Source organism: Homo sapiens, chromosome 3, assembly GCF_000001405.40.
Source record: "Homo sapiens chromosome 3, GRCh38.p14 Primary Assembly".
Taxonomy (NCBI): domain Eukaryota; kingdom Metazoa; phylum Chordata; class Mammalia; order Primates; family Hominidae; genus Homo; species Homo sapiens.
This window is the reverse complement of record NC_000003.12, coordinates 30426668-30443152: the sequence shown is the minus strand read 5'-3', so window position 1 is coordinate 30443152 and position 16485 is coordinate 30426668. Positions and strand designations below refer to the sequence as shown.

Genomic DNA, 16485 nt, shown 5'->3' with positions numbered 1-16485 from the left:
AGTTGACTCCTAGCTGGGTCTTCCTTTTCCTACCCTCGTCTCCCTGTCATCCATTGTCCACAAAGCAGTCACAAAGGCTGATATCAACCTTAAGACTATTCAGGACTTTATATCACACTTGGAATAAAATCCATACTCTCTCTTTTGGCCTGGGTGACTCTTCTTGATCTAGCCCTTACCTCATTCTGGGAATCCCATTTCGTACCACTTGTTCACAGTGCCTCAGCCCTACTGGCTACTCTCTAGTCTGTTTCTTGAACAAGCTAAGGCCATATTTCCTAGCACGTGCTATATCCTTGTTTACAAATGTAAATGGCTGGCTTCATCTTCTCATTTCGGTCTCTTTTCGAAGTGACTGTGTCAGAGAGGTCTTTCCTGAACATTCATTTCAAACCAGTCTTCTCCACCCTTACCTTTCATCTTTTTTTTTTTTCTTTCTGAGATGGAGTCTCACTCTGTTATCTAAGCTGGAGTGTAGCAGCACTCTCTTGGCTCACTGCAACCTCTGCCTCCTGGGTTCCAGCGATTCTCCTGCCTCAGTTTCCAGAATAACTGGAATTACAGACATGCATCACCACACCTGGTTAATTTTGTATTTTTAGTAGAGATGAAATTTTAGCATGCTGGCCAGGCTAGTCTGGAACTCCTAACCTCAAATGATCCACCTGCCTTGGCCTCCCAAAGTGTTGGGATTACAGGCATGGGACACCATGCCCGGCCCTCACCCTTCATCTTACTACCTTGCCTTATTTTCTTTACAGCACTTTTTACTGCTTAAAAATACAGAATATATTTATTTGCTTCCATGTTTATTTTTTACTTCCTTAACAGAATATAAGCTCTCTGAGGGCAAGGATTTTATCTTTTCCAGCTATAACCCTAACCTTTAATACAGTGCCTGTCACATAAACAAATACTGAAAAAAAAGCTATTTGGATTATTGAATGACTGAGAAAGCGAATTTTCAATGGGATTTCACATGCTGGATCTCTTGGCATATGGAATGTGGATGGAAGGAAAAAAACGTGTTATTCTCTGATTCACTAGGCCTTCCTTAGGGTAGGGACAAACTTAAATCTTGCTCTTCTGTGAGCAGATTTAAAAGAGAGTCAATGGAAGACAGTCTGTGATATTTAGGAACGTCTGTAATCTCCAAAGTGAGGAAAAGAAGAAGTTTCAAATGTCAGTGATAAATGTGGAGAGGGAAAACATTGGAACACAGCAGTGCATCTCTCTGGTCATACAACATGACAGAGTCGCTTCAACAATTTCATCTCTTGTGCCCAGGGAAAGGCATTGAGCTCCATATCAGATGTGAGTTCAAGTTTTGCCTTTGTTCTCATCAGCTCCTGCAAACCTAGGCAAGGCACAGATACCTGGGCCTGATTTTTCACTGGTGAAATGGGAAGGATAATGAAAGGAGAAAATAATTTTTATTAAGTCTTACTGTCTTCTAAGCCCTAAGTACATATCTGCCTGTATTATTTGGTTTAGTTCTTATGATAATCCCCCATTGCTACACCCTTCTCCACCCCAACCCTGTGCTACAGATAAAGATACTGAAACTCAAGAGGGATTTGATAATAGTAGTAATTATGAAAAGGCACACATGTAGCCAGTGACAGAGCTGGTATTAAAGCTTCATGTCAATTTGAGCTTGCAGCTCATGGTTTTAACGGCTGTGCTATGGGGTTTTCCCTTCAATATGATTGGGAGAACAAAACGAAGTCACCTTCCAGCTCTAATAAAACGTATCACACCCTCTTGTAATTGTTATGAACACATATGCCTCCTCCATCAGAGTCAAAGTTGCAAACCTGTCCATAATTCAATTCAAAGTTGCAAACGTGTCCATAATTCACCTTTGTGTCTCCATTATCTAGCACAGAGCCTGGTTCATAATAGGTATTTTTAAAAAATGTCCGTCTCTCTTTCCTGGCACCTTTCCTTGCTTTCCTTTTCTCTGGTGACAGAAATTACATTTGCCATAACCCACAGGGTCATAACAAAGACATTCCTGGGGAAGGAGTGAGAAGCAGAGCACAATCGTCAAGTCTCTTTCTTTCAACCTGCTGATAAACCACACTGCTGTTCCAACTCCTGCAAATCCAGCTTTGCCAAGAACTTTGTGTGCTTTCCACAGCAGGTTGGTGTGAATGCTATGTTTAGAACACAACCGTAAGTAGTCAGGGGTTTTAAAATTCTAGAAAGTATTGTTAGTTTTGTCCAAACACAGAGCTTGGCCTCAGTAACTTTGCAAGGTACAGGAACAAGACCCCTGCCCACACAGTGTATTTGGATTCAACAATGTTAATTTCACATAAGGGAAAAAGGGCTCTATGATTCCAGGACCAAGAGGTGGAGATTCAACAAATACTATAGGATACACAAGTTTTAGAAAATATAGGTTTTTTTTATTGCCACCTACTGTTGAAGTTATGACGGAAATAATTTATAATTCTTATTTATTTTCTTGCTTCTTTATTAAGGCCCCAAAGAGAAATGTAAACAGATGTTCTCAGCTACATGTTTTTGTTTATTAATTTTTCAAGTTTATTATTTGTGCAATACGTAATTTCTCTTTGAATCCTTTTATTTGTATAGATAGTAAATAATGATGTGAGAGTCAACACACCAGGATGAATGAATCATTCCTGGGGACTAGAGAACTGCCACTCATTTTACAGATAGAAGAGAATAAAATTTCAAGAATGTGAAATGGCATGCTTTACAACAGTAGATTGGACAGTCAGGAGCAAGGCTGAGAAACAAAGGCCAAACCTCAATAGTCTCTCATCAATTAGTAATCAGAATCAGATTTTGTGAAAGTCCATTGGAAAGAAAACAAGAAATCTGGCTAATACTTCAAATGAAAAGTATGCTTGAGGAGTATTGAATTGTTTGCCTTGGCTGCCATCTGCCTTTTAAATGGCCTTGACCCAATAGGCAGTTGGGAACCGTAAGGCTGATCTCCTACTCCCTAAGCAAATGAGACTTCACTGCAGTTAAAAGAGGTTGAGTACCAGGAAAGGAGAGGATGTGCCAAACCATTTACTTTTTTATTAATTTCACTTCTTGGCCGATAAATGGCCATTACTTTGGAAATTTAAAAAGTCATTCTGTTGTAGAAAGGTACCAATTGTAGAAAGAGGCAAATAAGTTTACTTCTTTTTATTTTCTTTTTGACGGAGTCTCGCTCTGTCACCAGGCTGGATTACAGTAGTGCGACCTCAGCTCACTGCAACCTGCACCTCCCAGGTTCAAGCGATTCCCCTGCCTCAGCCTCCCAAGTAGCTGGGATTTCAGGGGCACACCACCATGCCTGGCTAATTTTTTGTATTTTAGTAAAGACGGGTTTCACTATTTTGGCCAGGCTGGTCTTGAACTCCTGACCTCGAGATCCACCCGCTTCAGCCTCCCAAAGTGCTGGGATTACAGGAGTGAGCCCACAAGCCCAGCCAAGTTTACTTCTTTATGTCGAGATTTTCTTGTGTGATTTAAAATTGTTTATATTCTACAAATAAATATTGAGCAAGACTACCCATGAATGGAACTCTGTACAGAATTATGGGGCTGGATGGAGCCCTGGAGATTACCCAGAATGATCCCTTAATTTAACCACAGAGGAAACGAAGACTCCAGAGAAAAGAAAAAACAAAAACAAAAAATAATACCTCTTTGATGTAACATTCTCATCTAGTAGCAGGACTGTGACTTGAACCCAGCTCACTTAATTCCTAAGTAATCTCAAATTCTGTCTACCATTTGCTCCCACCATCACCATAGATTTTCAATTCCTCACCTTAGATAAGGTCACTCAGCTAGCATATTGCAAAACACAGAGGCTTTTTTTTTTTTCACTCTGAGTTCAATGGTCTTTCCACCTACCACCATCACTTTTTGTATTGGATTTTAAAATAATAATACATAAGAAAATGTAAAAAGTTACAGTGTGCCAATTGTGCCTTTTTGCCTCTAGATTCTATGCTGCAAAATATCTGAATTTCTATTCTTAGAATGAAAATATATCCTAGAAACATCAGAGGGCAAGATGAACCACAGAAAGAATCCCAAGACATTTTGCTGGTAAAACTGATTTTTTCTTAGTTGTCTCTTTTGTTCTGAAAGGGAACAACTTGAACAGTAGTCTCATTGGAAAGGAGGGCCATATAAATTATTTTTTATGAGGTACAACCCGTTTATACATAGAAACAAGAAAAGCAGATTTTGACATGGTTATTAATTACCCCAAAGCAATTTTTTAGTACTTTGACATTATTATTATTCTAAAGTCACTGTAGGAAATCACAGAAAAACTATTTCCCTTTAAAATGTACTGAGATAGTAGTTGTTTTAAAATATCTTCCAACTCTAAAAGATAGCAGTATTGCTTTACTCTAAAATTATGTCTCGATCTCTTTTGCATTTTTTCCTTAATTGTTCACTTTGTGGTAACAATTAGAATTCTGAAGAAAAGTAACCACAAGGAGATTCCTGGGGAAAAATAAATAGGAAGTTGATTCTGAAAACAGAACTCTTCTCTTGCAAAAGAGGCCATAGTTGGTGGTCCCAAACTCTTTATAGTTCCAATAAACAGACCTACACTTCAGAAAATGATCACCACCTGTAAGGTCAATGATCCCAATGACCATGAGATCATTACCACATAGAGGAAGATTTGGTTGGAATGGCATAAAAATTGAATTTATTGATAACTTAAATTCTTCCCATTATCAAAAAGGATGTGAGGTGGCATATAATAAAAGCCAGAGATGCGTAAGGGGATCAGATGAGGAACAGAAAGTCAAACCTGCTGAGGGCTATTCATTAACAGGCTAAGTGGCTGGCAGTTCTTGAGACAGCCTCTCCCACCCGATCCTTCTGAAGAGAGTTCTGATTCTTTTTGTAGGTAAATGATTGTTCATGCCAGAACATGGGAAACTTCTTTCCATCCCTCCCCACCCTCATTCTAATTTGAAGTACAACTCATATACAGTAAAATGTACAGATCATAAGTGTATAATTTGATATGATTTGACAAACGTAAGCATTCATTTGACCCAAATCCCAGTTAAAATACAGAAAATTTTCAGAAAATCCTTGTATCTACTACCTCCTAAGAAGTAATCTGTGGTGGAAGAAAATAATTTATACGTTTTTCCCAGTTACATGGCAACAATTTGGGGGCTTCCTTTAGCAGACACCAGGAGTAAAGAATATGTGAAACCATAGTGCTTTCAGTGGTCTTGGCTGATTGTTTAATAAATTTCTGAATTGTAATTATTACCGATGATATTAAATAAGCTCTGCGAATGAGATGCCATGTTCAGAATGCCTAGGACCTCAACATAAAACATTTCGTTTTCTTTCTGTGGGGCAATGGTGTTAATGTACATTAAACAGAATGGTCCCCAATGCCAAGGGTAGGAAATATTGGGAGCTACCCTTTTATGGTAAAAAAATGATTCTTCTGCTGGGTAAGCAAATAGCTCATAGCTCTCAAAGGAGGGAACTTAATTTAAGGAAGAATAAGCACTGGGGAATTAAGTTTCACAGGGGCAGCTGGGCAGAATTCTGTGTGTTTTTATAGCTGGCTCTTGAAAAGTCTTCAAGCTGGATATTTCATTCACACCATAGAGTGGCCTGGTCACATGACAGGCGTGCTGAAATTCACTCAACCAAGGTTTTGTCGAAAGGCTCCCAAATGCTGGTCTCCGGTTGATTTTAGGGCAAGCAGTTACTTAATATGCTGACTCTCTAGGGACTGAAGCAATACATAGACACCACCTACGGAATTCCACTCCCACCACTAGGCCTGTGAAAGCACTTGTTAGGGGGAAAGAGAGAGAGAGAGATTTATCCTGCTTTCTTAAATTAAAGATGCCTTTCCTATACTAGGGCCTCCTGAGAAACATGAACTTTCTTTAACTGCAGTTAGTGCCAGCAGCAAGCACCAGCAGGGGAGTTGTTTGGCTGAAACTGGGCTGAGGTGCTGCAGCTCATTTTAGATTAATAGGCTTCTCTGGTTTCATTCCCAAAGTTTCCACCAATAGATGTGGAAATTTTTCCAGTTCTAGAACCATTATCCCTACCCCTGGCTGTCTAGTATGTTTGTGTCTGCAAGAGTTGTCATTCGTTTATCTGGGACACATTGTTTTTTTTAAGGGATAAAAGATGAAAGATGAAAGGATGACAGTTTTTTTTTTTTCTTTTTCTTTTTTTGCTGAGAGAACGGTCTGACTAAAATTTTTTGGTATAGTTGAAGAAATTCCTTGTATAACTTTAAGAGTAACTTTATTATCAAGCCATTGCAACTAAGAAATGCTTAAGCCTGCCCAAGAAGTTCTTCAAGGATGTAGGTACAAAACTTTGAGGATACACTTTTGGCATTATTCATGAGGCACCATTGTGTAAGAAAACATACTAGACTGGGTGTCTGGGGGCCAGAGTTCTAATCTCAGCTTCGTCGCTAAATTGCTGTGTCACTTGCAAAGTGAGGGGGATTAGAAAGGGACATATTCTGAAGTCCTTTCCAGCTATAAATTCTTGTGGAGATAGATTACATCAAATCAGATTCAATTTCATGGGGATAGATTTAAAATTACAGGATTGGCAATAATGATGACCTGAGATTCACATCGAATTTGCCAACAGCAAATTGCATTATGAAATGTGATTTTGCATTTTTGCAATGGTAGAGTAGCTTATGCAGGCCCATCATTGTGCCTAGACATCTATAAATGCAGCATAAAACCAACCAAACAAAAAAACCCAAAACAAAAACAGCTGTTTGAAGGCTCTGAAGAGCAACCATGATTTTGAAGAAAACTGCATCATGATAATGCCAATAGTCCTAGTCAGTTTTCTCCTTGAGGCATTTACTAATTTGTAACAGGTGTAGGGCTGAGAAACCAGGCAGAAAGGTGACAGACAGCTCAAGACTTCGGCAGTCTCACTTGCCTGAGAAGACAAAAATTGGAGATCAAGGTTATTAAGTGAGCCAGAACTTGAGGGTTTAATGTCCCACAGGAAACAGAACTACGGAAACGTGAATCTAAAATTCTGTGTGCGCTTTACCCTGAAAGCATTTGCAAAATCGTAAATTGCATAAAGTGAAAGCAAGCAAGAAAAGCAGAGAGCAGCAGCTTGAAGCTAAAATATAAAGCCCAGCTTTTTAGCAGACTCACGATGCTGGTAAGACAGAATTTGAATTTCACGGCACTTCAAAGCAGGGTTCCTAGTAAGCATGTTAGGATCCTATCTGAGATGCCTGGGAAGCTTTATCCTGGGTGTAAAGCAAAACCTACAAATAGACTAGATCTCACAAAGACAGAAACTCAGGCTTGAATCATCTCAACTCCTGTTTAAATCAAGGTGATCTGCCTCTAATCTACTTGCCTGCCAGAAGAAAATCAAATTTTCTCTGAGGAAAACAGCATCTCACAGAGCCTCTGCAATATTTTAGTCACAATGCCCAGCATTCATTCAAAGTTACCAGATACGTCAGGAGACAGGACAAAATACATGTAAGCTAAGACAGAGCGAAAAATTAAAAAACAGTCAAGAGAGTGACCCGTAGGTAACCCATGTATCAAAATGATTAGGCGTGGAATTTAAAATAAATACAATATTTATGTTTAAGAAATTATGTGACAAAAATGGAAAAGCTCATCAGAGAACAGAAATCTATGAAAATGAATTAACATGTAATTCTAGAATTGAAAATTTTAATACCTGAAATTTAGAACTTAGGTGGGCTTAAGATCAAATTAGACACAGGAGAAGAAATTATTAGTGAACTGGAAAGAAAAGTAAGAAATATCCAGACTAATATACATGGAAAGTAAGAAAAAATTAAAAAGCACAGAAAAAAGCTCCTAAAGTGGAGACAGCCTCAACAGCAAAAAAGCTAAAACATGTGGCATTGACATTGAGATCAGGAAGTTTGTGGGGGCTTGAAGAACTATGAGGAGATTTTAGTGAAGACTGAAAAAGCGGTGACAAAATTCTTGGAGACTGAAAAAATGGTCATCCATGTTACACGGTGTCAAATGTTTGACAATACTCATCAATGATAATGTTGGACATAGAAAATGTATTTAGTAAACTCATGGAACCAGTGTGGGAGATTGATAGGCAGGATATTGAAAGTGTCATTGGTTTCTTTTACCTACGTATGATAAAGTACAAGAAAAGAAAGGGGAACTGAAGAAGGAACTGTTAACTTTTCAAGGAAAATTACAGAAAATACTTTAATAACTTAAGTAGCTAATAATATTTAATAATTTAAATAACTACAACCCTTTTCTCTAGACTGGATGGTATTGCCATATCAGGGCATATTCCCACTAAATGTTACCTTAAGATCAAAATCAAGTCTAGGGTGAAGCTGTAAGACACTTCATGAAGACACCAAACATGATTTAATGTGGAAGCATTTCAGATGCTCTCACTTAATGAAAAGAGATTCTAGTAATATTGGATGCGTGCTTCAAAAATCTTCTCTGCTAAACAAAAGAGCTTCTAAGTATCTTAAGAACATTGTTCCACAACACCCTAACAAAAATTATAAGATATAAAGGAGACAATATTAATGTGTTGATGTGTTTAATGAAGTGGCTTATAATTTGATAAATAAGAACCCCAATTTTAAATTTTAAAACCCACGATTTTAAAGGAGCTTTACCTGCTAGTACTGAAAGGAACACAGATGATTCAAAATGAAAAGAGGTCTCTGGGCTCCAACCTTCTCTGGACATCAAGTAAGCTGAGAAAGTTACTTAGCCGCAAACAAGGACCAGTCTTATGGAATAGTAAGGATGACTCAGAATGTAAAATTAATATCATAGAGGACAGAGTTAAGAGCCATGGAGCACTGTTCCAATGAGCAGAACTAGGCTCAAAGCACCCAACATTTCCTGCCTTCAGAGAAAGATTAATTACTGACGTATGTTCAACTGACTTGCAGAATTGCTTTGGACCAGTAATTACTATAAGCCTCTCATTCTCCCACTTTTTTAAAGAGAGTGTCTATAGCAGTTATTCTGTCTCCATCTCTCCACTTTATTTTGGATGTGTGGAGGGTAAATACCTTGTATTTATTCATTTTGAAATTTACAGGTCTCCACGTCAAGATAAAGCACACCTGAGAAGCTGCACCCAAAAAACCACATCTTGGGTGCCTTGACAACACCTGATTTTAATTTAGATGATGGAATCTTGGTCTGTAAGCCTGAGCCTAATGCCATAATGGGATAAATGTTGGAGCCTTTAGGGGAGGTGAGCGTATTTTGTATGTAGGAGGGATGTGGCTCATAGGCCTCCAATAAGCCATTCCTACCAATACTCGCATCTCTGTGTAGTCCCCTCCCATACTGACTCTGGGCTTGGCTATAATACTTTCCTTGACCATTGGGAAATTACAAAAGTAACTCATGCAAAAGTTTGATAAATGCTTTTATGTTTTTTTTAAAATTTTTTTTACTTTTAATTTTTTTATTTTTTTCAGGTGAATTTTAATTTTATTTTTTATTTTTTATATACTTTAAATTTTAGGGTACATGTGCACAGCGTGCAGGTTAGTTACATATGTATACATGTGCCATGTTGGTGTGCTGCACCCAGTAACTCGTCATTTAACATTAGGTATATCTCCAAATGCTATCCCTCCCCCCTCCCCTCCCCCGACCCCACAACAGGCCCTGGTGTGTGATGTTCCCCTTCCTGTGTCCAAGCGTTCTCATTGTTCAATTCCCACCTATGAGTGAGAACATGCGGTGTTTGGTTTTTTGTACTTGTGATAGTTTGCTGAGAATGATGGTTTCCAGCTTCATCCATGTCCCTACAAAGGACATGAACTCATCATTTTTTATGGCTGCATAGTATTCCATGGTGTATATGTGCCACATTTTCTTAATCCAGTCTATCATTGTTGGACATTTGGGTTGGTTCCAAGTCTTTGCTATTGTGAATAGTGCCACAATAAACATACTTGTGCATGTGTCTTTATAGCAGCATGATTTATAATCCTTTGGGTACATACCCAGTAATGGGATTGCCGGGTCAAATGGTATTTCTAGTTCTAGATCCTTGAGGAATCGCCACACTGACTTCCACAATGGTTGAACCAGTTTACAGTCCCACCAATGGTGTAAAAGTGTTCCTATTTCTCCACACCCTCTCCAGCACCTGTTTTTTCCTGACTTTTTAATGATCGCCATTCTAACTGGTGTGAGATGGTATCTCATTGTGGTTTTGATTTGCATTTCTCTGATGGCCAGTGATGATGAGCATTTTTTCATGTGTCTGTTGGCTGCATAACTGTCTTCTTTTAAGAGGTGTCTGTTCATATCCTTCGCCCACTTTGTGATGGGGTTATTTGCTTTTTTCTTGTAAATTTCTTTGAGTTCATTGTAGATTCTGGATATTAGCCCTTTGTCAGCTGAGTAGATTGCAAAAATTTTCTCCCATTCTGTAGGTTGCCTGTTCACTCTGATGGTAGTTTTTTTTGCTGTGCAGAAGCTCTTTAGTTTAATTAGATCCCATTTGTCAATTTTGGCTTTTGTTGCCATTGCTTTTGGTGTTTTAGACATGAAGTCCTTGCCCATGCCTATGTCCTGAATGGTATTGCCTAGGTTTTCTTCTAGAGTTTTTATGGTTTTAGGTCTAAAATTTAAGTCTTTAATCCATTTTGAATTAATTTTTGTATAAGGTGTAAGGAAGCGATCCAGTTTCAGCTTTCTACATATGGCTAGCCAGTTTTCCCAGCACCATTTATTAAATAGGGAATCCTTTTCCCATTGCTTGTTTTTGTCAGTTTTGTCAAAGATCAGATGGTTGTAGATAAGCGGCATTATTTCTGAGGGCTCTATTCTGTTCCATTGGTCTTTATCTCTGTTTTGGTACCAGTACCATGCTGTTTTGGTTACTGTAGCCTTGTAGTATAGTTTGAAGTCAGGTAGCATGATGCCTCCAGCTTTGTTCTTTTGGCTTAGGATTGACTTGGCAATGTGGGCTCTTTTTTGGTTCCATATGAACTTTAAAGTAGTTTTTTCCAATTCTGTGAAGAAAGTCATTGGTAGCTTGATGGGGATGGCATTGAATCTATAAATTACTTTGGGCAGTATGGCCATTTTCACGATATTGATTCTTCCTACCCATGAGCATGGAATGTTCTTCCATTTGTTTGTATCCTCTTTTATTTCATTGAGCAGTGGTTTGTAGTTCTCCTTGAAGAGGTCCTTCAGGTCCCTTGCAAGTTGGATTCCTAGGTATTTTCTTCTCTTTGAAACAATTGTGAATGGGAATTCACTCGTGATTTGGCTCTCTGTCTGTTATTGGTGTATAAGAATGCTTGTGATTTTTGCACATTGATTTTGTATCCTGAGACTTTGCTGAAGTTGCCTATCAGCTTAAGGAGATTTTGGGCTGAGACGATGGGTTTTTTAGATATACAATCATGTCATCTGCAAACAGGGACAATTTGACTTCCTCTTTTCCTAATTGAATACCTTTTATTTCCTTCTCCTGCCTGATTGCCCTGGCCAGAACTTCCAACACTATGTTGAATAGGAGTGGTGAGAGAGGGCATCCCTGTTTTGTGCCTGTTTTCAAAGGGAATGCTTCCAGTTTTTTTCCATTCAGTATGATATTGGCTGTGGGTTTGTCATAGATAGCTCTTATTATTTTGAGATACGTCCCATCAATACCTAATTTATTGAGAGTTTTTAGCATTAAGGTTGTTGAATTTTGTCAAAGGCCTTTTCTGCATCTATTGAGATAATCATATGGTTTTTGTCGTTGGTTCTGTTTATATGCTGGATTATGTTTATTGATTTGCATACGTTGAACCAGCCTTGCATCCCAGGGATGAAGCCCACTTGATCGTGGTGGATAAGCTTTTTTATCTGCTGCTAGATTCGGTTTGCCAGTATTTTATTGAGGATTTTTGCGTCGATGTTCATCAAGGATATTGGTCTAAAATTCTCTTTTTTTGTTGTGTCTCTGCCCGGCTTTGGTATCAGGATGATGCTGGCCTCATAAAATGAGTTAGGGAGAATTCCCTCTTTTTCTATTGATTGGAATAGTTTCAGAAGGAATGGTCCCAGCTCCTCCTTGTACCTCTGGTAGAATTCAGCTGTGAATCCATCTGGTCCTGGACTTTGGTTGGTTGGTAAGCTATTAATTATTGCCTTAATTTCAGAGCCTGTTATTAGTCTATTCAGAGATTCAACTTCTTCCTGGTTTAGTCTTGGGAGGGTGTATGTGTCGAGGAATTTATCCATTTCTTCTAGATTTTCTAGTTTATTTGCATAGAGGTGTTTATAATATTCTCTGATGGTAGTTTGTGTTTCTGTGGGATCAGTGGTGATATCCTCTTTATCAGTTTTTTAGTGTGTCTATTTGATTCTTCTCTCTTTTCTTCTTTATTAGTCTTGCTAGCAGTCTATCAATTTTGTTCATCTTTTCAAAAAACCAGCTCCTGGATTCATTGATTTTTTTTAAGGGTTTTTTGTGTCTCTATTTCCTTCAGTTCTGCTCTGATCTTAGTTATTTCTTGCCATCGGCTAGCTTTTGAATGTGTTTGCTCTTGCTTCTCTAGTTCTTTAATTGTGATGTTAGGGTGTCAATTTTAGATCTTTCCTGCTTTCTCTTGTGGGCATTTAGTGCTATAAATTTCCCTCTACACACTGCTTTGAATGTGTCCCAGAGATTCTGGTATGTTGTGTCTTTGTTCTTGTTGGTTTCAAAGAACATCTTTATTTCTGCCTTCATTTCCTCATGTACCCAGTAGTCATTCAAGAGCAGGTTGTTCAGTTTCCATGTAGTTGAGCAGTTTTGAGTGAGATTCTTAATCCTGAGTTCTAGTTTGATTGTACTGTGGTCTGAGAGACAGTTTGTTATAATTTCTGTTCTTTTACATTTGCTGAGGAGTGCTTTACTTCCAACTACGTGGTCAATTCTGGAATAAGTGCAGTGTGGTGCTGAGAAGAATGTATATTCTGTTGATTTGGGGTGGAGAGTTCTGTAGATGTCTATTAGGTCCGCTTGGTGCAGAGCTGAGTTCAATTCCTGGATATCCTTGTTAACTTTCTGTCTCGTTGATCTGTCTAATGTTGACAGTGGGGTGTTAAAATCTCCCATTATTATTGTGTGGGAGTGTAAGTCTCTTTGTAGGTCTCTAAGGACTTGCTCGATGAATCTGGGTGCTCCTGTATTGGGTGCATATATATATTTAGGATAGTTAGCTCTTGTTGTTGAATTGATCCCTTTAGCATTATGTAATGGCCTTCTTTGTCTCTTTTGATCTCTGTTGGTTTAAAGTCTGTTTTATCAGAGACTGGGATTGCAACCCCTGCCTTTTTGTTTTCCATTTGCTCGGGAGATCTTCCTCCATCCCTTTATTTTGAGCCTATGTGTGTCTCTGAACGTGAGATGGGTTTCCTGAATACAGCACACTGCTGGATCTTGACTCTTTATCCAATTTGCCAGTCTGTGTCTTTTAATTGGAGCATTTAGCCCATTTACATTTAAGGTTAATATTGTTATGTGTGAATTTGATCCTGTCATTATGATGCTAGCTGGTTATTTTGCTTGTTAGTTGATGCAGTTTCTTCCTAGCCTCGATGGTCTTTACAATTTGGCATGTTTTTGCAGTGGCTGGTACCAGTTGTTCCTTTCCAAGTTTAGTGCTTCCTTCTGGAGCTCTTTTAGGGCAGGCCTGGTGGTGACAAAATCTCTCAGCATTTTCTTGTCTGTAAAGGATTTTATTTCTCCTTCACTTATGAAGCTTAGTTTGGCTGGATATGAAATTCTGGGTTGAAAATTCTTTTCCGTAAGAATGTCAAATATTGGCCCCCACTCTCTTCTGGCTTGTAGAGTTTCTGCCGAGACTTCCGCTGTTAGTCTGATGCGCTTCCCTTTGTGGGTAACCCGACCTTTCTCTCTGGTTGCCCTTAACATTTGTTCCTTCATTTCAACTTTGGTGAATCTGACACATATGTGTCTTGGAGTTGCTCTTCTCAAGGAGTATCTTTGTGGCATTCTCTGTATTTCCTGAATTTGAATGTTGGCCTGCCTTGCTAGATTGGGGAAGTTCTCCTAGATAATATCCTGCAGAGTGTTTTCCAACTTGGTTCCATTCTCCCTGTCACTTTCAGGTACACCGATCAGATATAGATTTGGTCTTTTCACATAGTCCCATATTTCTTGGAGGCTTTGTTCATTTCTTTTTATTCTTTTTTCTCTAAACTTCTCTTCTCACTTCATTTCATTCATTTGATCTTCCATCACTGATACCCTTTCTTCCAGTTGATCAAATTGGCTACTGAGACTTATGCATTCGTCACGTAGTTCTCATGCCTTGGTTTTCAGCTCCATCAGGTCCTTTAAGGACTTCTCTGCATTGGTTATTCTTGTTAGCCATTTGTCTAATTTTTTTTCAAGGTTTTTAACTTCTTTGCCATGGGTTCGAACTTCCTCCTTTAGTTTGGAGTAGTTTGATGTTGATGCTTGATTGCATTAAATTTTTCCTTTTGTTGGTCTTAGACTCTCATGACTTAAGAAAGTTCAAGATGGACATCTGAAAGGGCAGAGGAAGGACATCTAAAGAATCCAAGCAAAAACCAGAACTAAGGCCTCAGACATATTGCCCCAGTAGAGCCAATATGACTGACTGCTCCTTAGCTATTCAAGTCATCCCAGCTTAGTCATCCCCATTGTGGTCTGACAAAATTCCTAATTCACAGAATTGTGAGTTTTAAAAGAAGTGATTGTTGTTTTAATTCACTAACTTTTGGGATAGAATGGATAATTGAAACAGGAAATTTGGTCAAGGATTAAAAATGCCTAACATGTTTAATTTGAGTTCCTGAAGAAGAGAAGGGATAAAATGGGACAGAAGCAGTATTTGAAGGTATATTGGCAAAACAATGATGTAAACCACCACCAAGACACAGATTTAAAAATTGCTGTGACTTCAAGATGATCAATGAAAAATAAGACATACATAGGCACATTATTGTAAAACTGCTAAGTACAAAGGCAAAAATAGTTTCTTAGAAGCAGACAGAAAACAAAGGCATGCTACCTAAAAAGAAACAAGAATAACTTTGATATCTGTCTTTCTAACCAAAATGATGGAAGCATAAAATAACAGAATGGTGTCTTGAGATAAAACAAAAACTCTATCAACCTAGAATTCCATATAAAATGAAAATACCCTTTAAAAATTAAGATAAAATAAAGACATTTTTAGGTAAAAAAAAAAAAAGTCTAGAAGACTGATTCAGTAGCAGGCTTAGCTTACAGCAAAAAACTTAACAGAAAAGTCTGTCAAGAAGAATAACATAACCCCAGATAGAAGGGCAGACATTGAAAAGGGTGAATATTTTGAAAATTTTAAACGTTTATTTTTTTTTAAGAGACAAATTCTTGCTCTATTGCTCAGGCTCAAGTGCAATGGCACAGTGATAGCTCACCAATCCTCAAATTAGTGAGCTCAAGCAATCCTCCTGCCTCAGCCTCCTGAGCAGCTGGGACTATAGGTGCCCACCAGTACACATGGCTAATTTTTTTATTTCATATTTTTTTTGTAGAGATGGGGCCTGGCTATGTTGCCCTGGCTAATCTTGAACTCCTGTCCTCAAGCAACCCTCCCACTGTGGCCTCCCAAAGCACTGGGAAAATGTCTATTGACTATATATTAAGCAGTAATAATGCTGCCTTGTGGTGTTTAAAATAAATGTAGGATTAAATTACAAGAAAACAATAGTACAAAAGGTTGGAGGAGAATAAATGACAATTAAAGTGATACAAGGTTTTGCACTGTCTAGAAAAGGAAAATAGTACTAATTTATATAGACTCTGATAAGTCAAAGATACATATGGTAATTTCTAATACCACCAGAAAGTTGATAGAGAAAATTATACTAAACATATTATTGAAGGAGGGAAATTAAATAATACAATTTATTTGATTATTTTGGTGGAAGGCAAGAAAGAAGACATAAAGAACAGAAAGCAGATTAAACAAAATATTACAAAGTATTATGGTAGATTTGAGCCCAAATATGTTGAAACTACTAGAAAAAAATACTCCAATTTGAAAACAAAGACTGTGAACTGATTCAAAATCAAAACCCAGTTATATGCTGTTTATAATGAATGTACCTTAAATATGAGAAAAGAGGCAGGCTGAAAATAAAGAGTAGAGATCATTATGCAAATACTACTCATTTTTAAAAAGCTGATGTAGTTATATTATTATCTAATAAACTAGGATTCAGGAAATAATGAGGGAATTTTATAGTAATAAAAGAAGTGACAAGAGTCACATCTTGAATGATGTCATGAGGAGCTCAGAGGATCCTTTGCCCAGTGAAACAACTGTAACTGGTGAAAATTAGTAAGTTTTAACAAAGGAAAAACAATGACACAAATCTATAATTTTTGGAAAATGTCTAAGGGCATCCAGCAAATGGAGAC

General features: G+C 38.0%; 2 long non-coding RNA genes across 5 annotated transcripts in view, besides 1 other annotated feature; one reads left to right on the top strand and one right to left on the bottom strand.

Annotated features, from left to right (window-relative positions):
* Positions 1-16485, bottom strand: part of LOC101927995 (uncharacterized) — a 119590-nt gene that overhangs the window by 26228 nt on the left and 76877 nt on the right. The window contains exon 4 of one of the 4 annotated variants that reach the window (XR_427322.4): positions 6132-6960. The exons of the other annotated variants lie outside the window; for them this stretch is intronic. This is a non-coding gene — a long non-coding RNA (uncharacterized LOC101927995). Of the gene's footprint in view, positions 1-6131; positions 6961-16485 lie in introns of those variants that run through there. 4 annotated transcript variants of the gene reach the window in all.
* LOC105377013 (uncharacterized) overlaps positions 1-16485 on the top strand; it is a 47433-nt gene that overhangs the window by 24020 nt on the left and 6928 nt on the right. The window contains exon 3 of the long non-coding RNA XR_940683.2: positions 1999-2146. This is a non-coding gene — a long non-coding RNA (uncharacterized LOC105377013). The remainder of the gene's footprint in view (positions 1-1998; positions 2147-16485) is intronic.
* Positions 1882-2176: a silencer, noted in NCBI's record as "tiled region #9798; HepG2 Repressive non-DNase unmatched - State 7:EnhWF". NCBI's record gives its function as "represses a minimal TATA promoter and a strong SV40 promoter by Sharpr-MPRA in HepG2 cells {active_cell/tissue: HepG2}" and the evidence as "EXISTENCE:reporter gene assay evidence [ECO:0000049][PMID:27701403]".